The 21,062-nt window shown below is 40.3% G+C and overlaps 1 pseudogene, besides 1 other annotated feature; it reads left to right on the top strand.

Moving 5' to 3' along the window:
* Positions 5,202 to 5,926, top strand: SLC25A6P1 (solute carrier family 25 member 6 pseudogene 1; annotated as a pseudogene).
* Positions 8,550 to 9,051: an enhancer, noted in NCBI's record as "H3K4me1 hESC enhancer chr20:21719865-21720366 (GRCh37/hg19 assembly coordinates)". NCBI's record gives its function as "activates a minimal SCP1, AML or CMV promoter by ChIP-STARR-seq in primed H9 embryonic stem cells {active_cell/tissue: H9 hESC(primed)}" and the evidence as "EXISTENCE:reporter gene assay evidence [ECO:0000049][PMID:30033119]".

Here is a 21,062-nt window from a genome sequence, read left to right as displayed (position 1 = left end):
CCAAATTCCACCAGAGGTACAAAAGGAGCTGGTACCATTCCTTCTGAAATTATTCCAATCAATAGAAAAAGAAGGAATCCTCCCTAACTCATTTTATGAGGCCAGCATCATCCTGATACCAAAGCCTGGCAGAGACACAACAAAAAAACAGAATTTTAGACCAATATTCCTTTTGAACATTGATGTGAAAATCCTCAATAAAATACTGGCAAACCAAATCCAGCAGTACATCAAAAAGCTTATCCACGACAATCAAGTCAGTTTCATCCCTGGGATGCAAGGCTGGTTCAACATACGCAAATCAATAAATGTAATCCATCACATAAGCAGAACCAACAACAAAAACCACATGATTATCTCAACACATGCAGAAAAGGCCTCCGACAAAACTCAACAGCCCTTCATGCTAAAAACTCTCAATAAACTAGTATTGATGGAACATACCTCAAAATCATAAGAGCTATTTATGATAAACCCACAGCCAATATCATACTGAATCAGCAAAAACTGGAAGCATTCCCTTTGAAAACTGGCACAAGACAGGGATGCCCTCTCTCACCACTCCTATTCAACATAGTGTTGGAAGTTCTGGCCAGGGCAATTAGGCAGGAGAAGGAAATAAAGGGTATTCAATTAGGAAAAGAGGAAGTCAAATTGTCCCTGTTTGCAGACGACATGATTGTATATCTAGAAAACCCCATTGTCTCAGCCCAAAATCTCCTTAAGCTGATAAGCAACTTCAGCAAAGTCTCAGGATACAAAATCAATGTACAAAAATCACAAGCATTCTTATATACCAACAACAGACAAACAGAGAGCCAAATCATGAGTGAACTCCCATTCACAATTGCTTCAAAGAGAATAAAATACCTAGGAATCCAACTTACAAGGGATGTGAAGGACCTCTTCAAGGAGAACTACAAACCACTGCTCAAGGAAATAAAAGAGGATACAAACAAATGGAAGAATATTCCATGCTCATGGGTAGGAAGAATCAATATCGTGAAAATGGCCATACTGCCCAAGGTAATTTACAGATTCAATGCCATCCCCATCAAACTACCAATGACTTTCTTCACAGAATTGGAAAAAACTACTTTAAAGTTCATATGGAACCAAAAAAGAGCCCGCATTGCCAAGTCAATCCTAAGCCAAAAGAACAAATCTGGAGGAATCACACTACCTGACTTCAAACTATACTACAAGGCTACAGTAACCAAAACAGCATGGTACTGGTACCAAAACAGAGATATAGATCAATGGAACAGAACAGAGCCCTCAGAAATAATACCACACATCTACAACCATCTGATATTTGACAAACCTGACAAAAACAAGAAATGGGGAAAGGATTCCCTATTTAATAAATGGTGCTGGGAAAACTGGCTAGCCATATGTAGAAAACTGAAACTGGCTTCCTTCCTTACTTACCCCTTATACAAAAATTAATTCAAGATGGATTACAGACTTAAATGTTAGACCTAAAACCGTAAAAACTCTAGAAGAAAACCTAGGCAATACCTTTCAGGACATAGGCATGGGCAAGGACTTCACGACTAAAACACCAAAAGTAATGGCAACAAAAGTCAAAATAGACAAATGGGATCTAATTAAACTAAAGAGTTTCTGCACAGCAAAAGAAACTACCATCAGAGTGAACAGGCAACCTACAGAATGGGAGAAAATTTTTGCAATCTATCCATCTGACAAAGGGCTAATATCCCAGAATCTATAAAGAACTTAAACAAATTTACAAGAAAAAGACAATCCCATCGAAAAGTGGGCAAAGGATATGAACAGACACTTCTCAAAAGAAGGCATTTATGCAGCCAACAGACACATGAAAAAATGCTCATCATCACTGCTCATCTGAGAAAGGCAAATCAAAACCACAATGAGATACCATCTCACACCAGTTAGAATGGCGATCATTAAAAAGTCAGGAAAAAACAGATGCTGGAGAGGATGTGGAGAAATAGGAATGCTTTTACACTGTTGGTGGGAGTGTCAATTAGTTCAACCATTGTGGAAGACAGTGTGGCAATTCCTCAGGGATCTAGAACTAGAAATACCATTTGACCCAGCCATCCCATTACTGGGTATATACCCAAAGGAATATAAATCATGCTACTATAACTACACATGCACACGTATGTTTATTGTGGCACTATTCACAATAGCAAAGACTTGGAACCAACCCAAATGTCCATCAGTGACAGACTGGATAAAGAAAATGTGGCACATATACACCATGGAATAAAAAAGAATGAGTTCATGTCCTTTTCAGGGACATGGATGAAGCTGGAAACCATGATTCTCAGCAAACTATCACAAAGACAGAAAACCAAACACCACACGTTCTCACTCATAGGTGGTAATTGAACAATGAGAACACTTGGACATGGGGGTGGGGAACATCACACACTGGGGCCTGTTGTGGGGTGGGGGGAGGGGGGAGGGATAGCATTAGGAAAAATACCTAATGTAAATGATGAGTTGATGGGTGCAGCAAACCAACATGGCACAAGTATACCTATGTAACAAACCTGCACTTTGTGCACATGTAACCTAGAACTTAAAGTATAAACAAAGTAGAAAAAAGCTTATAGAATAAGGATATACAGAAAGAAAATAATTATACAGTTATACAGTGTGTTCATGTTTTAAGCTAAATATTATTACAGAAGTCAAGACTTTTTTAAAAATTTGAAGTTTTAAAAAGTAAAAATGTCATAGTAATCCAAGGTTAATTTATTATTAAAGAAAGAAAAAAATACTTTTATAAATGTAGTGTTCCCTAAGTGTACAGTTTATAAAATGATACACTCTGTATAAAGTGTACAAAGTGTTTGTAAAGTCTACAGTAGTGTACAGTAATGTCCTAGGCCTTTACATTCACTCACCACTTACTCACTGACTCACCCAGATCCACTTCCATTCCTGCAGTCTCCATTCATGGTAGGTGCCCTATACAGGTGTGATATGGTTTGGATATTTGCCCCCCACCAAATCTCATGTTGAAATATGATTCCCAATGTTGGAGGTGGAGCCTGGTGGGAGGTGATTCGATTGGGGTGTCGATCCCTCATGAATGGCTTGACACCATTCTCTCGGTGCTGTCCTCAAAATAACCAGTGAGTCTTGCTCTGAGTTCACATGAGCATGTGGTTGTTTAAAGTTGGCACCTCCCCCTTGGCTCTCTCTTGTTCCTGCTTTCACCGTGTTACATGTTGGCTCTCCATTGCCTTCTACCATGAGGGTAATCATCCTAGGTGTCACCAGAAGCAGATGCCAGCACCATGCATCCTGTAAAGCCTACAGAACCATGAGCCAATTAAACCTCTATTCTCCCAGCTTCAGATATTTCTTCATAGCAATGCAAGAACAAGCTAATACAAAGTACATCACTTTTTATCTTTTATATCATATTTTTACTGTACCTTTTCTATGTTAGATATGCTTACACTCACAAACACCATTATGTTACAGTTGCCTACAGTATTCAGCAAAGTAACATGTTGTACAGATTTGTAGCCTCAGAGCAATAGGCTATACCACATAGCCTCGGTGTGTAGTAGGCTAGGCATCTAACTTTGTGTAAGTACGCTTGGTGATGTTCACACAATGACAAAATCACCTGACACAGTTCTCAGAATGTATCCCCATCTTTAAGTGACATCTAACTATAAATAGAGGGGTACACCATCTTCAGGAATTAGAAGACTCAAATTTGTATTTATATCAATTATCTCCAATTTACTCTCTAGATCTGAAGCAATCCAAATCAACACCCTGACAGACTTTTTCTATGTAGAAAGTTGTGAATTTATATGTAAATGCAAAGGGCCAATGTGGTCAAAACAATCTTAAAGAAAAAGATGGAAAATTTACATGATCACATATCAATAGTATCCCAATAGTATCCAGACATCTTTTTTCTTTCTTTTTTTTTTTTGAGACAGAGTCTCGCTCTGTCGCCCAGGCTGGAGTGCAGTGGCGTAATCTTGGCTTACTGCAAGCTCCGCCTCCCGGGTTCACACCATTCTCTTGCCTCAGCCTCCCAAGTAGCTGGGACTACAGGCGCCCGCCACCACGCCCAGCTAATTTTTTGGTATTTTTAGTAGAGACGGGGTTTCACTGTGTTAGCCAGGATGGTCTCGATCTCCTGACCTCATGATCCGCCCACCTCGGCCTCCCAAAGTGCTGGGATTACAGGCATGAGCCATTGTGCCTGGACCCAGACTTCTTTTTTCTAAAGATACTTAAATTATCCAATCTACAGGGTAGAAAGAAAAAAGATGGTTTCAGAGACCTATGGGATGATATCAAACAATGTAACATATGTGTAACTGGAGCCCAACAGGAGAAAAGAGTGAGAATGATGCCAAATATATATATATTTGAAGAAATAATTTCCAAAATATAACTAAATACAATGGAAAACATCAATTTGAGATTCCAGACATTCAGCAAACCCCAAACAATACAAAGAAAGCACATCTAGATATATCAGAGTAAAGCTGCTAAAAGTAAAAAGAAAAATCTCAAAAACAGAAAGTGGAGAGAAAAGATGCATTACATAAAAGAAAAAAATAATTACAAATGACAGCTGATATGGTTAGGCTATGTCCCCACCCAAATCTCATCTTGAATTGTAGCTCCCATAATCCCGTAAACCCCCCCAGTGGGAGGTAATGGAATCATGGGGGTCAGCTTTTCCCTTGCTGTTCTCGTGATAGTGAGTAAGTCTCATGAGATCTGATGGTTTTATAAAGGGCAGTTGCCCTACATATGCTCTCTTGCCTGCTGCCATATAAGATGTGCCTTTGTCTCCTTTGCCTCCCCGGCCATGTGGAACTGTGAGTCCATTAAACTTTTTACTTTATAAATTACCCAGTCTCAGGCATTTCTTCATAGCAGTATGAAAATAATATACAAATACAACAGCTGACTTCATGTCCTAAACAATAGAAACTAAAGGACAATAGAACACTACATTTGTAGTGCCAGCTGAAAGGCAGAGAGAGATTGTCAACCCAGAGATTAATATCCGGTGACAATACCCTTCAACATTGAGGGTAGCCTTTGGTCCAAGGTGGCAGGGCTGAGCCACCAGCACCTCCCTCTGCTCCCTAGCTCTCCACACTCCATTGTCCTGCCTGCCACCATGATGGAACAGTCCAACTCCCTCACCAATGATTCCCAAATGGCCGTGGCTCAGATCCAGCAGGTCAAGCTGCTGCTGCTGCAGGGGCAACATGCCAGTAGCAGATTGCAGCCCACAAGCAGCACGAAGTGTGGTGGATGGACTGCGTCCTCTGCATCTCCAAGGAGCATGGGGCTGTCTTCCTGGAAGGGCAACCTTGCCAGTGCCATCCATTACTTCCCATGCAAGCCCTTAACTTTGCCTTCAAGGATAAGTACAAGCAGTTCTTCCTGGGGGTGCAGACAAGCGCATGCAGTTCTGGAGGTGCTTCGCTGGCCACCCGGCCTTGGGTGGCCTGGCTGGCACCACCTCACTCTGCTTCATGTACCCCCTGGATTTCCCAGAACCTCCTGGCAGCAGACATTGGGAAATTGGGCACAGTGCATGAGTTCAAAGACCTGGGAGCCTGGCCGGTGAGGATCACCAAATCCAATGGACCCAGGGCCTGTACCAGGGCTTCAGCATCTCATGCAAGACATCATCATCTACCCAGCAGCCTCCTTCTGCTAGTAGGATACAGCTGAGGGCATGCTCCCCAGCCCCAAGAACATGCACATCCTGGCAAGCTGAGTTACTGCAAAGACTATGAGGGCCATGGCCAACATGATCTCCTATCCTCCCACATGGAGCTCAAAGGAGCCCACATCATGTATACAGGGACCCTAGATTGTTGGAGGAAGATCTTTAAAGATGAAAAGGGCAAAGGCTTCTTCAAGGGCGAGGTCCAATGTCCTTGGAGGTGTCAGGGGCTTTGGTGCTGGTCCTGTAAGAGGAGCTGAAGAGAGTCATGAAGTGCGTTTGTCTCCTCCACAGAAACAGGAAACAACAGAATCATGGTGAGTGCTCAACAGCTGCAGACCATTGACCTTCAAGAAACTCCAATTGTCTGTCCTGGCCAGATATGTCTGTGGAGGGTGGGGGAAGGCTCTAGAAAATGGGTGCGTTGTGATCACGTTCGACCATCAGCATCACTATCAATAACCATGATCAATTCCATGAACTGATCGCTGGGGGGAAGCAGGCCCAGGGGCATTTTCTCTGCTGCTCAGACCTAGAGTCTAGTTGTTTGTAGGGCCTGAGTTGTGTGTAAATATTTATGTAAAACAAAAGAAACATGTGTCCCATTTGTACTTAAGCACTGGCTCCTCATTTGCACTGCCAAATATTTGCAATTATGTTCTATGTGGGCATTCTGCTGCAAAACAATAAAAAGAGAACACTGAGAACCTCAAAAAATGAGGGCAAAGACATTTTCACAGAAAATAAAAACTGAAAAAAAATCATCACCAGCAGATCTGTACTATAAGAAATAGTAAAGAATGTTCCGCAGGCCAAAGGCAATTGATTCTAGATAGGAATGTCTATCTACAGGAAAGAAGGAAAAGCATGAGAAATGATAAGTGAGTAGGAAAACATAAAATAACATGGAGTTTCTTTTCTTCTCATAATTGTCTTAAAACACAACTGACTATACAGAGAAAAATATAACACTGTAAGGTGAGGTTTACAAAGTATATTGAAGTTCATGTCAGGGGAACAGGTTCAGGGGAGTTTACTCTTGTAAGGTTATGACATTTGTAAAGTAGGAAGTGAAACATTTCAGACCAGGTGTGAAGTACAAACTGAGAGATGGTACAAGGTTGACTTTAAGTAAGCTTTGATAATTGAAGGATGCATATTGTTAGTCATAGAGCAACCACTTAAAAATTAAATTAAAAGAGATATTCCTAGGAAACCAATACAGGAAATATAGTCTTATAACCCAATAAGCAGATGGCAAACAACCCAATTAAAATATAAGCAAAAGGGCCATGCAGGGTGGTTCATGTCTGTAATCCCAGTAGTTTGGGAGGCCAAGGCAGGCAGATCACTTGAGCCCAGGAGTTTGAGACCAGCCTGGCAACATGGTGAAACTCTGTATCTACAAAAAGTACAAAAGTTAGTCAGGCATGGTGGCACACACCTGTAGTCCCAGCTACTTGAGAGGCTGAGACTGGAGGATTGCTTGAGCCCAGGAGGTCCAGGTTGCAGTGAGTTGTGAGTTGTGATCATGCCACTGCACTCCAGCCTCAGCAACAGAGCAAGACCTGTCTCTTTCTCTTTCTCTCTCTCTATCTCTATCTCCCAAAAGATTTTTGGCATACATATATGCAAAAGATTTACAAAAGAAAGTATACAAATGTCCAGCAAGTCAATAAAAAGCATTTGCATAATTAGTCATCCAAAAATACAATTTACACCAAAATGTGGTATCACTGTACACCCACTAGAATAGACATAATGAAAAACGCAAAACTTTCTTAGTGTGGGTGAGGATCTGGAGTAACTGGAGTAACCCATTGCTGGTGGGAAGAGTATGTTGAAGCCAACAATTTTGGAAAAGTGTTTCGTAGTTTCTAGAAGCATATACACACTCTATGACCCAGAAATCTCACTCCTAGATATTGAAGAGAAACAAAAACATGCCAACAAAAATACTTTTAAAATATTCACAGTAGCTTTATGCATACCAGCCCCAATCTGGAAACTACCCAAATATATATCCCCATTGGAATAGATAAATAGTGGTATATTCTACACAATGGAATAGTATACAGTCATAAAAGGAATGCTAACTGAAAGAAAACATACACAAAATTAATCCATAATGAATTATTCCACAATATAAATGGAAATTAGGACAAATTGGGAAAAATTAATATTCATTTGGGATAAGAAATCATGAGAGCAGTTAGCATTGAGGGAAAGTGGGATATGGAGACTGAGAGGAACAAAAGGAAGTTTCTGGGTGCAGATATTATTCTCTTCTTGAGCAAGTCAGAGGCCAAAAGGATGTGTTCACCATCTGAAAATTCATCAAGATATGAACCTTTAATTTGTACACTTTTCTGTATATGCTTTACTTTGATAAAATAGTTTACTTTAAAAATATATTTGGCTGCCACCACAATAATCATTCTTTCAAGCAAGAATCATCAGTTGGGGGAAATAGCTGATTGGAGGCAGGTGTAACTTGCAGCCCCACTCAGACAGAGCAGCATGCAGAGACCACATTGTGAAATTTTGCTCCAGGAACTACCACAGGAACATACCAGGAAAGCTGAGAGAATCCACAGGCCCTTTGAAGGAGGTGAATTGCCCCTGCAGGCTCTGTGAGACAGCTGAGGAACTGTGAGTCGACTTGCTTTCCCAGCTGGGAGGCTTATAGCCTGGGGCAAGTTCTCAGCCCTGCTCATTGGCTGCCTGGAAATAAACTCAGTGCTGTTGGGGTGTGGCGGGGGGAGCGGGGCATGCTGGGAGAGAGACTAGCTTTTTGGGCTGCATGGGAGCTGGGGGAAGCCTGTGGCTGCTGGCTTTCTCCCACTTCCCTGGAAACCTGTATGACACAGCAGAGACAGCCATAATCCTCCTGGAAACATAACTCCATTGGCCTCCACACCTCCATCCCCCTCAGCAGCTGCAGTAAGCCCTGCCCAAGGAGAGGCTGAGCTCAGACACACCTAACTTTGCCCCACCTGATGGTCCTCCTCACCCACCCTGGTAGCCAAAGACAAAGGACATATTATCTTGGGAGCTCTACCATCCACCACCTGATCCTCCCTATATTTCTGCAGCTGATGCACTCTTGCAAGGGCCACCTCCTGGCTGGAGGCCAACCAGCACAAAACCAGCGCACTAAACAAAAATACAACCAAGAACCCTCACTGAGTCCACTTCACTCCCCGCTGCCTCCACCAGAGCAGGTGCTGGTATCCACAGCTGAGAGAACTGAAGACAGATCGTATCACAGGACTCTTTGCAGACACTCCCCATTACAAGCCCAGAGCCTGGTAGCTCTGCTGGGTGGCTAGATCCAGAAGAGAAATAACAATCACTGCAGTCCAGCTCTCAGGAAGCCACATCTCTAGGGGAAGGGGGAGAGCACTACATCAAGGGAGCACCCTGTGGTACAGAAGAATCCGAATAGCAGCTCTTGAGTCCCAGATCTTCTCTCTGACGTAGTCTACCCAAATGAGAGGGAAACAAAAAAACAATTCTGGTAATATGAAAAAACAAGGTTCTTTAACATCCCCCAAAAAATCACATTAGCTCACCAGCAATGGATCCAAAACAAGATGAAATCTCTGAACTGCCAGAAAAAGAATTCAGGAGGTTTACTATTAAGCCAATCAAGAAGGCACAAGAGAAAGGTGAAGTCCAACTTAAACAAATCAAAAAAAAAATTATACAGGATATGAATGGGAAAATCTTCAGTGATAGCATAAATAAAAATCAATCACAACTTCTGGAAAGGAAGGACACACTTAGAGAATTGCAAAATGCACTGTAAAGTCTCAGCAACAGAATCAAACAAGTAGAAGAAAGAATTTCAGAGCTCAAAGACAAGGCTTTCGAATAAACCCAACGGTGACAAAAAAAAAAGAATAAAAAAATGAACAAAGCCTCCAAGAAACTGGGATTATGTTAAACAACCAAACCTAAGAATAATTGGTGTTTCAAGGCAAAAGAGAAATCAAAAAGTTTGGAAAAATATCTGAGGAAATAATTGAGGAAAACTTCCCTGGCCTTGTTAGAGGTCTAAACATCCAAACACAAAAAGCTCAAAGAACACCTCAGAAATTCATCATAAAAAATAAATCATCACCTAGGCACATAGTCATCAGGTTATCTAAAGTCAAGACAAAGGAAAAAAATAAGAGCTGTGAGGCAAAAGCATCAGGTAACCTATAAAGGAAAACCTATCAGATTAACAGCAGATTTTCTCAGCAGAAACCCTACAAGCTAGATGAGATTAGGGTCCTATCTTTACCCTCCTTAAAAAAATTATCTGCCAAGAACTTTGTATCCAGTGAAACTAAGCTGCATAAATGAAGGAAAGATATAGTCTTTTTCAGACAAACAAATGCTGAGAAAATTTGCCACTACCAAGCGAGCACTACAAGAACTGCTTAAAGGACCTCTAAATCTTGAAACAAATCCTCAAAATACACCAAAATAGAATGTCCTAAAGCGTAAATTCCATAGGACCTGTAAAACAATGACACAATTTAAAAAAAATTAAAAATTAAAAAATAAACGAAGGTTTTCAGGCAGGCAACAGATAGCATGATGAATAGAATAACACCTCACATCTCAAAACTAATGATGAATGTAAATGGACTAAATGCTCCACTTAAAAGACACAGAATGGCAGAATGGGTAAGAATTCACCAACCAAGTATCTGCTGTCTTCAAGAGGCTTATCTGACACATAAGGACTCACATAAACTTAAGGTAAAGGAATGGAAAAAGATATTCCATGCAAATGGACACCAAAAGTGAGCAGGAGTAGCTATTCTTATATCAGATAAAACAAACTTTAAAGCAACAGCAGTTAAAAGAGACAAAGAGGAACATTATATAATGATAAAAGGACTAGTCCAAGAGGAAAATGTCACAATCCTAAATATATATGCACCTAAAACTGAAGCTTCCACATTTATAAAACAGTTACTACTAGACCTAAGAAATGAGATAGACAGCAACACATTAATAGTGGGGGACTTCAGTACTCCACTGATAGCACTAGACAGGTCATCAAGACAAAAAGTCAACAAAGAAACAATGGACTTAAACTATACCCTAGAACAAATGGTCTTAACATGTATTTACAGAACATTCTACCCAACAACTGCAGAATATACGTTCTATTCATCGGCACATGGAACATTCTCCAAGATAGACCATATGATAGGCCAAAAAACAAGTCTCAACAAGTTTAAGAAAATTGAAATAATAGCAAGTACTCTCTCAGACTTGGAATAAAATTGGAAATCAACTCCAAAAGGAACACTCAAAACCATGCAAATACATGGAAATTAAATAACCTGCTCCTGAATGATCTTTGGGTCAACAATGAAATCAAGATGGAAATTTAAAAGCTCTTTGAACTGAATGATAATAGTGACATGACCTATCAAATCCTCTGGGATACAGCAAAGTTGTGCTAAGAGGAAAGTTCACAGAATTAAATGCCTACATTAAAAAGTCTGAAAGAGCACAAATAGATAATCTAAGGTCACTCCTCAAGCAGCTAGAGAAACTAGAACAAACCAAACCCAGACTCAGAAGAAGAAAAGGAATAACAAAGATCAGAGCAGAACTAAATGAAATCAAAACCAAAAAAATACAAGAGATAAGTGAAACATAAAGCTGATTCTTTGAAAAGATAAATAAAATTGATAGACCTTTAGTGAGATTCACCAAGAAAAGAAGAGAGAAGAGCCAAATAAGCTCAATTAGAAATGAAATGGGAGATATTACAACCGACACCACAGAAATACAAAAGATCATCCAAGGCTACTATGAACGCCTTTACACACATAAACTAGAAAACCTAAAGGAGATGGATAAATTCCCAGAAATATACAACCTACCTAAGTTAAACCAGGAAGAAACAGAAACTCTGAACAGACCAATAACAAGCAGTGAGACTGAAAGGGTAATTTAAAAGTTACCAACAAAACAAAGTCCAAGCTAGATGGATTAACAGCTGAATTCTAGCAGACATTCAAAGAATTGATACTAATCCTATTGACACTATTCCAAAAGATAGAGAAAGAGGGAATCATTTCTAAATCCTTCTGTGAAACCAGCATCACCCTAATACCAAAACCAGGAAAGGACGTAACAAAAATGAAAACTACAGAACAATATCCCTGATGAACATAGATGCAAAATCCTCAACAAAATATTAGCTAACCAAATCCAACAGCATGTCAAAAAGATAATCCACCACGATCAAGTGGGTATCATACTAGGCGATGCAGGGATGGTTTAACATCTGCAAGTCAATTAATGTGATACATCACATAAACAGAATTTAAAACAAAAAATCACTGGATCATGTCAATAGACACAGAAAAATCATTTGATAAACTCCAGCATCCCTTTACGATTAAAACACTCAGCAAACTTGGCATAGAAGGGACATACCTTAAGGTAATAAAAGCCATCTATGACAAACCCACAGCCAACATTATACTAAACGGGAAAATTTGAAAGCATTCCCACTAACAACTGGAACAAGACAAAGATACCCACTTTCACCACTTCTACTCAGCATAGTACTGGAAGTCCTAGCCAGAGCAATCAGACAAGAGAAAGAAATAAAGGGCATCCAAATCAGTAAAGAGGGCGCCAAACAGTCACTGTTTGCTGATGGCATGATTGCATACCTAGAAAACCCTGAAGACTCATCCAAAAAGCTCCTGGAACTAGTAAATAAACTCAGCAAAGTTTCAGGATACAAACTTAATGTACACAAATCAGTAGCCCTGCTATACAACAACAGCAACAAAGCTGAGAATCAAATCCAGAACTCAACCCATTTTAAAATAGCTGCAAATAAAATAAAATACTTAGGAATATACTTAACCAATGAGGTGAAAGACCCCTACAAGGAAAACTACAAAACACTACTGAAAGAAATCATCAATGACACAAACAAATGGAAACACATCCCATTCTCATGGATGGGTAAAATCAATATTGTGAAAATGACCATACTGCCAAAAGCAATCTATAAATTCAGTGTAATTCCCATCAAAATATTATACCACCATCATTCTTCACAGAATAGAGAAAAAACAATCCTAAAATTCATATGGAACCAAAAAAGAGCCTGCATAGCCAAAACAAGACTAAGCAAAAAGAACAAATCAGGAAGCATTACATTACCTGTTTTCAAACTACGCTATAAGGCCATAGTCACCAAAATGGCATGGTACTGGTATAAAAACAGGCATATCGACCAGTGGAACAGAATAGAGAACCAAGAAATAAGCCCAAATACTTACAGTCAATTGATCTTAAACAAAGCAAACAAAAACATAAAGTGGGGAAAGGACACCCTATTCAACAAATGGTGCTGGGATAATTGGCAAGCCACATGTAGAAGAATGAAACTGAATCTTCATCTCTCACCTTATATAAAAATCAACTCAAGATGGATCAAAGACATATCTGAGACCTGAAACCATAAAAAAAATCTAGAAGATAACATTGGAAAACCCCTTCTAGACATTGGCTTAGGCAAAGACTTCATGCCCAAGAACCCAAAAGCAAATGCAACACAAAGATTAATAGATGGGACTTAATTAAGCTAAAAAGCTTTTGCACAGCAAAAGAAATAATCAGCAGAGTAAACATACAACCCACAGAGTGGGAGAAAATCTTTGCAATCTATACATCTGACAAAGGACAAATATCCAGAATCTACAAAGAAACAAATCAGCAAGAAAAAAACAAACAATCCCGTCAAAGAGCAGGCTAAGGACATGAATAGACAATTCTCAAAAGAAGATATACAAATGGCCGACAAACATATGAAAAAATGCTCAACATCACTAATTATCAGGGAAATGCAAATCAAAACCACGGTGAGATAACACGTTACTCCTGCAAATCAAAAAATAATAGACGATGGCATGGATGTGGTGAAAAGGGAACACTTTTACACTGTTGGTAGGAATGTAAACTAGTACAACCACTATGGAAAACAGTGTGGAGATTCCTTAAAGAACTAAAAGTAGATCTACCATTTGATCCAGCGATCCCACTCCTGGGTATCTACCCAGAGGAAAATGAGTTATTATATGAAAAAGATATTTGCACATGCATGTTTATAGCAGCACAATTTGCAACTGCAAAAATATGGAACGAGCCCAAAGGCCCATCAATCAACGAGTGAATAAAGAAAATGTTATATATATAACATGGAATACTACTCAACCATAAAAAGGAATGAAATAATGGCATTTGCAGCAACCTGGATGGAATTGGAGACCATTATTCTAAGTGAAGTAACTCAGGAATGGAAAACCAAACATCATATGTTCTCACTTACAAGTAGGAGATAAGCCGTGAAGATTCAAAGGCATAAGAACGATATGATGGACTTTGGGGACTCGGAGGAAAGGGTGGGAGTGGGATGAGGGATAAAAGACTATACATTGGGTATAGTGTACACTACTTGGATGATGGGTGCACCAAAATCTCAGAAATCACCACTAAAGAACTTATTCATGTAATCAAACACCACCTGTTTTCCAAAAACCTATTGAAATAAAAATAAATAAATAAAAGTAAAGCGAAGCCCCACAGAGGGGAAAAAGACAGAATCATCAGTGGATACTGAACTGTGTGGCCTGAAGGCATGATGGAGAACAGGAGATCTGGAGTCTCACTCTCTCCCCACAACACACTTATCACTCGCAAAGAAAAAAATAGTAATTTTACAATAAAGAGAATTGAGGACACCATCTAACCAAGTGATCAACTTATCAACATTAACATATGTGTTAGTTTGCAAGGGCTACCATAGTACCACAGACTGGGTGGCTTAAATCACAGAAATATATTTTCCCATACCTGTGGAGGCTGGAAGTTCAAGATCGAGGCATCAGGAGGGCTGTTTCCTTCTGGGGGCCATGAGGGAAGGGACTGTTCTTCCAGGCCTCTCTTCTTGGCTTGCAGACAGCCACTCTCTCCCTGAGTCTTCATAGCATCCTCCATTTGTACATGTCTGTCCAAATTTTATCTTTTTTTTTTTTTTTTTTTGAGACAGTTTCACTCTGTCATCCATGCTGGAGCGCAGTGGTGCAATCTCAGCTCACTGCCTTCTCTGCCTCCCAGGTTCAAGCAATTCTCATGCCTTGGCCTCCCAAGTAGCTGAAACTATAGAGGTGTGCCCCCACACCCAGGTAATTTTTGTATTTTTAGTAGAGACAGGGGTTTCACCATGTTGGTCAGGCTGGTCTCAAACTCCTGACCTCAAATGATCCACCTACCTCGGCCTCCCAAAGTGCAGGGGTTACAGGCACGAGCCACCGCACCCAGCAGATTTCCTCTTCATATGAAAACACCAATCATGTTGGATTAGGGCTCGCCCTAATGACTTCGTTTTAACTTAATCACCTTTTTAAAGAACTTGTCCCCAAATCCTACCACATTCTGAGAAACTAGAGGTTAGGGCTTCAACATCTGAATTTTAGGGGACATGACTCAGCCCATGACAATGTGTACCAGTCATGAAACAATAGGGCACCGTGGGCCTCAAGATAGAAGAAATTGAAATGCTCACAGCATCATTTTTGCAACTTTCTTGCCGGAAATCTCAAACCTGCATCTCATCATTTAAAAAAAAAAAAAAAGAAAACCTAAATCGAGGGATATTCTACAAAATAACTAACCTGTACTCAAAAGTCTCAAGGTTATGAAAACAATGGTTAAGGAACTGTTCCAGATGAAAGGAGGCTAAACAGACACAAATTAAATGCAATGTGTGATCCTAGACTGGCTTCTGGCCCAGACGAAGGAAACAATTGATTGAAAAGTCTATCAGTTGATAACAATTGATAGAAAGTCTATCAGTTGGATAATTGATAGAAAGTCTATCAGTTGGATAATAGCATCATATGAATGTTAATTTCTGATTTTAATAATTGTGCTGTGGTTTATAGGAAATGTCCTTGTCTTTTGGAAATTTTCACTGAAGGATTTAGACATAAATATAAATTTGGGGGATCTTGATGAAGAGTCCTTGTATCATTTTTGCAACTTTTCTGTAAGTCTAGAATTATTTCAAAATTAAAAAAAAAGTTACAGAAAAGTAATACTTTTAAAACTCTGCAATTGAAAAAAAAGTGTGTGTGCGTGTGTGTCTGTATGTGTGTGTGTGCCTGAACACATCTAGCACCCACAGTACCTGATAAAATTGAGGATAACCATTTGCTCATTCTTGCATATTTATGTAACTAGGAATTATTGATATAGTAAGTTGAAACCAAAGGCAAAATGTGCCTAAACTTATACCATCTAGGAATCAAATTAATTGACAGAGTGGCCCTTTAAAATAGGGGTGAGTGGGTAATTTGCTCAAAGACCTTCATCTTGGGTTCCTCAACTGTTCCCACAGCTTTGGCTCAAATTCTGGTTAAAAGTAAAATTTCAAGAGCGTGAACCCTAATTAAAATGTCCTGGTGCTGCCTGGATTTATATTTAAAACCAAAGTCAGAGTATAAAATTTCATGTGACTCCGTTCTCCCATGTTTTACCTCTGAAAACATTATATGACTGTCACACAATCCCCAAAATTAAGATGACAGACATTTCCCCTCCAAAGATGATTATTTCAGCATTGTGTAGGTTCAGGTTCTAACCTCCCTCAATCAGGATTTGACTCAAATCTTCCACGTGGTTATCTCCTTATTTGTTCAGCCAGCAATCATTGAGTGTCCAACATATGCCAGGCACAGTTCTGTAAACTACATGAGTGGAAAAATAAATCAGACATAGAAACTGTCTTTGAGGGGCTTGCCTTTACCTAAGATGTTGAGAATAAATGTTTTCCCTTTATTCTTAAAATTATTAAAAATAGGAATTATTTGGCATTAAAAACTAAGGCATACTGCCTTAGTTTCCTAGGGTTGCCATTCATAACAACAACAACAAAAGCCCAAAACCAAGGTGTGAGGAGGGCCAGGCTCCCTCTGAGACTCTGGACAGAACCTTTCCTTGCCTCTTCCTTGCATCTGAGGGTAGCTGTCAGTCCTTGGCATTCTGCGGCTTGTAGCTGCATCAACTCCAACCTCTGCCCTGTTGTGACACTGTATCCTCCCAGTATGTCTGTCTCCACATGGCATTTTCCTCTTCTTATAAGGACACCAGTTATACTGGATTAGGGCCCACATTAATGACTTCATGTTAATTTAGTTGCATCTGCGAAGATCCTGTCTCCAAATAAGATCACATTCCCAGGTAATGGGGATTGAGGCTTCAACACATCTTTCGACAATTCAACAATTCAACTCCTACACGCACATTTCAATAAATGAATTTGGTCTTCTCCTCGGGGAACTTAAATCTTCCTAATGAGAACACAAATTTGTGTTTTAGACTTGTTTTCCAAAATACTATAAATGACTCTCCAGGATGTGAAGGGCATCTTTCTGGGCCTCAGGAGAAAGTTTAAACGTAATACTTGCTTAGTTAGATATGTGGGTGAAAGGATCTGTTCAAGTGTAACGCTAAGTATGAGGTCTCAAGGCTGCTCTGATCCGTTATTACACAAATATTAAACCTGTATTATCCATTATTACATAAATATTAAAAACCTGTACTTTGAGCTGGGAACGGGGGATGCAGGGAGGAGAGGGGAAGGGAAAGTGCGTAACTGTCAGGGTAGAGGCGGCTGGATCCCACCCCCAGGCAGAACAGCCATCATTACTACCTTACCTGCTGTATACACTGGGCTCCTGCGCAAAGATCCCCTCTAGAAAACAAAGCAAAACAGGGGTTCCCAACTTAAAACATTTGAAAATCAATGGCTTAGATTTCTGGGAATTTTTTTCATACATAGATTGAGGGGGTACACATGCAGATTTATTACATCGGTATATTGTGTAATGCTGGGGTTTGAGCTTCTAATGAGCCCATCACCCAAATAGCGGACACAGTACCCAGCAGGTAATTTTCCAACCCCTTCTCATCCTCCCAGCTTCTGCAGTCCTCAGAGTCTCTTAATTCTGTCTTTATAACCTTGTGTACTCATTATTTAGCTCTCACTTATAAGTTAAACACAGCCACATTTTATTCCTATGGTGGTATTTTCCTTTCCTTTGTCTTCTTCATAAAATTAGGCTGGTCAATTTATTTTCCAGTTTCAATTATATTTTCCAAACCATTGTTTCTCTGCTCCTGTACTAATAAAATGCTGTCATCGTAGGTCCCTGCTAATAGTAAAAATGTTTAAATAGCGGAAAACTAAAATATTGTTCCTCAATTTTTCTGACAATAATTCAAAGATTCTTTCCTTAAAAAAAAAAATGAGTTCTCTTTTAAAATTCAAATTCCGGTATTGATTTAAATGTTATTACCACTGATGTATGAAAATTTCAGATCTTTTTTTCTTTGCATTTTTAATCTTTTCTCAATATACTTTCACCTTCTAACTTCTTGACTCACAGAAGAAAAATTGTATGAATAAAGTTAGTTTTCTACCTTCTTCTTGCCATACCTTCTTTTTTCTTACCTCACTGTCTTTACATCCTCCCTACATTATTCCTTTACTGTTCTTTTCTACTATGCTTACACTTCCACAGTTTTTCATTTATTTATTTTTCTAAACCTTCTTTATTTCTAATTTTATAGTCACATATTTTAATAAATTTGAATGATTCTATTTGGCATTTTTTATTACTGTTACACCACTTTTGGTAGAAATTTAAAATATACTGTCACATTAAACATCTTTATTGAAAAATTTTCGAAACACAGATAGATTTAAAATTTTTTTTAACTCCTGAACGACCGCTTGGACAGCATTTTCAATACTTTGATGTACTGTATATACTTCCAGACCTTTGCTATGTAAATAGTTTTTATTAAAATGTAAGCATACTGTAAACTGATATTTGTGGATAGGCCTAGTGAAATTGCAGGCAATTCACAAGGAAATCTACAACTGGCAGCAGCGAGCCGGCCTGTGGTTGGCCCCGGGGCGCAGCGTGGAGAGGAAGCGGCTATGTCCCAGCACACCCGTGGAAGCGTCCGCGTGCCCCACTTCTGGGCCCAGACGTGCTGTCAGCTGCATCCGTGGAATCCCATACTGGCCCTCAAAAAGCTAAGGGAATCATATCCATCCACCTCCTCCCCGCTCCTCCCCAGCACCCCAGTCCTCACATCCTAGGTCCTCCGTGCTCCGCCTCTGATGGTGTGGAATGTGCTGGAACGCAAGACCCATCAAGCAGCTGCTGAGAGTGCCACAGCGCCCAGGCCACAGCAGCCAACCCTGAGGGGTGGCCTTAGCTGCAGAGTCACCCCCAAACCATGCTCAACCTGGCCTACTTCCGGGATTTAAAGTTCCGACTCTCTCGCCGGAAGTTGGGACGGCTCTGGAGGGCCACTCATCTTCAGAGCTGCCCCGTCCGTACAGCCTGGCAGACAGTTTTCTGCCGCCCACTCCTGCTTCGTTCTTGCCCCTTGCCCTCCAGGTGCAGATCCCAGGAACAGCTCCCAATGTGTCCAGAGTTTGCTCCTGCCGGTGGGTTCATGGTCTCGCTAATTTCAAGAATGAAGCTGCAGACCTTAGGGGTGAGGGTTACAGCTCTTAAAGATTTGGGTCACGGACCCAAATAGTGAGCCGTAGCAAGGTTTATTGTGAAGAGTGAAAGGACAAACCTTGCACAGCCTGAAAGAGGACCCGCACGGGTTGCTGCTGCTGGCTGGGGTGGCTAGCTTTTATTCCCTTACTGTCCCCTCTCATTTTCCATTTCTGTCCTACCAGAGTGCCCTTTTTTAAATCCTCCCCGCGATTGGCTACTTTTAGTATCCTGCTGATTGGTGCACTTTACAGAGTGCTGATTGGTGTGTTTTACAATCCTCTTGTGGAGGGAGAAAGTTCCTGATTGGTGCATTTTACAATCCTCTTGTAAGACAGAAAAGTTCCCCAAGTCACCACTCCATCCAGGAAGTTCAGCTGGCCTCACCTCTCACCAACAGGCATCCCTCAGGCTCATCTCCATCTGAGTCAGCTCACTGGGGACCCCAGCCTTGCACTGATATATCAGATGGGATCCCAGGAACAGCAGCACCGATTTTCCTCCCTCTGCGGACCACCAGGCTCCCCTGGCCCCTCAACATTTTAACAGATCTTTGTATATTCAGTTTAAAAAAAAAATGGGGCCAGGCGCAGTGGCTCACGCCTGTAATCGTAGCACTTTGGGAGGCCGAGGTGGGCGGATCACGAGGTCAGGAGATTGAGACCATCCTGGCTAACACGGTGACACCCCGTCTCTATTAAAAATACAAAAATAATTAGCTGGGTGTGGTGGCAGGAGCCTGTAGTCCCAGCTCCTGCGGAGGCTGAGGCAGGAGAATGGCGTGAACCCGGGAGGCAGAGCTTGCAGTGAGTCGAGATTGCACCACTGCACTCCAGCCTGGGCGACAGAGCGAGACTCCGTCTCAAAAAAAAAAAAAAAAAATGGTAGCTGATTTTATTTTGCCTTTCTTTGATCACTACTGAAGTGGACATTTGTTTCTCTTGCTTACTGGGCATTTTCACTTGCAGTTTGTGACTGTTATATAAATCATATTATTTTCACTCAACCACTTTCTCCTACTGATTGGTAAGAGCTTCTTAGATGAATTGTTAAAGCTTTGCTATACATTACAATTCTATTCCTAGATGTATTCTTTATTGTCTAATGCTATTTATAATGTTTTGAAATAAGCTGAAGTTTTTGTTTGTATTAGGCCAAATGTCTCAGTCTTTTCCTTTGTGACTTAGAGTTTCTAATATCATATATACAAAATTCTCAGTCCCTCCATGATTATATGAATATTCACCAGAGGGAAAAGATGTCTATAACTATTTCAGTGAACATTATGAAGTTGTCTATAAATTGGAAAAACTATTATTTGTTTTGTCAATGTTTAAAAAAACTCTTAATTTATCAAGGGAGAAGATAAAAATCAACGACTATGACATTTAGAAAGGTCTGTGCCCTCCCTCTTGCAGACTCTGAACTCATTCATTTTCACAAGCCAACCAGGTGTCCTGGTGCAGTCTTCTCCAGGACTATCTTGGCCTTTATTGCCTTGTAAACTGTATTTCCTGGGACCAGGACCAGCAACATAATTTGCAGGGCCCAGTGTGAAAAGAAAATGTGGGGCCCCTTGCTCAAAAAGTATTAAGAATGTCAAGAGGGTAACAACAAAGCATTAAACTAAGTACGAGGTTGCACAGGGGTCTCACACCCATGAAACTACCCTGCTCAGAACACAAAGAGCAAACCTTCTAGATCAATTCCTTTTA

Source organism: Homo sapiens, chromosome 20 (assembly GCF_000001405.40).
Source record: "Homo sapiens chromosome 20, GRCh38.p14 Primary Assembly".
NCBI classification, from domain to species: Eukaryota; Metazoa; Chordata; class Mammalia; order Primates; family Hominidae; genus Homo; species Homo sapiens.
This window is presented reverse-complemented; position numbering and strand designations above follow the sequence as displayed.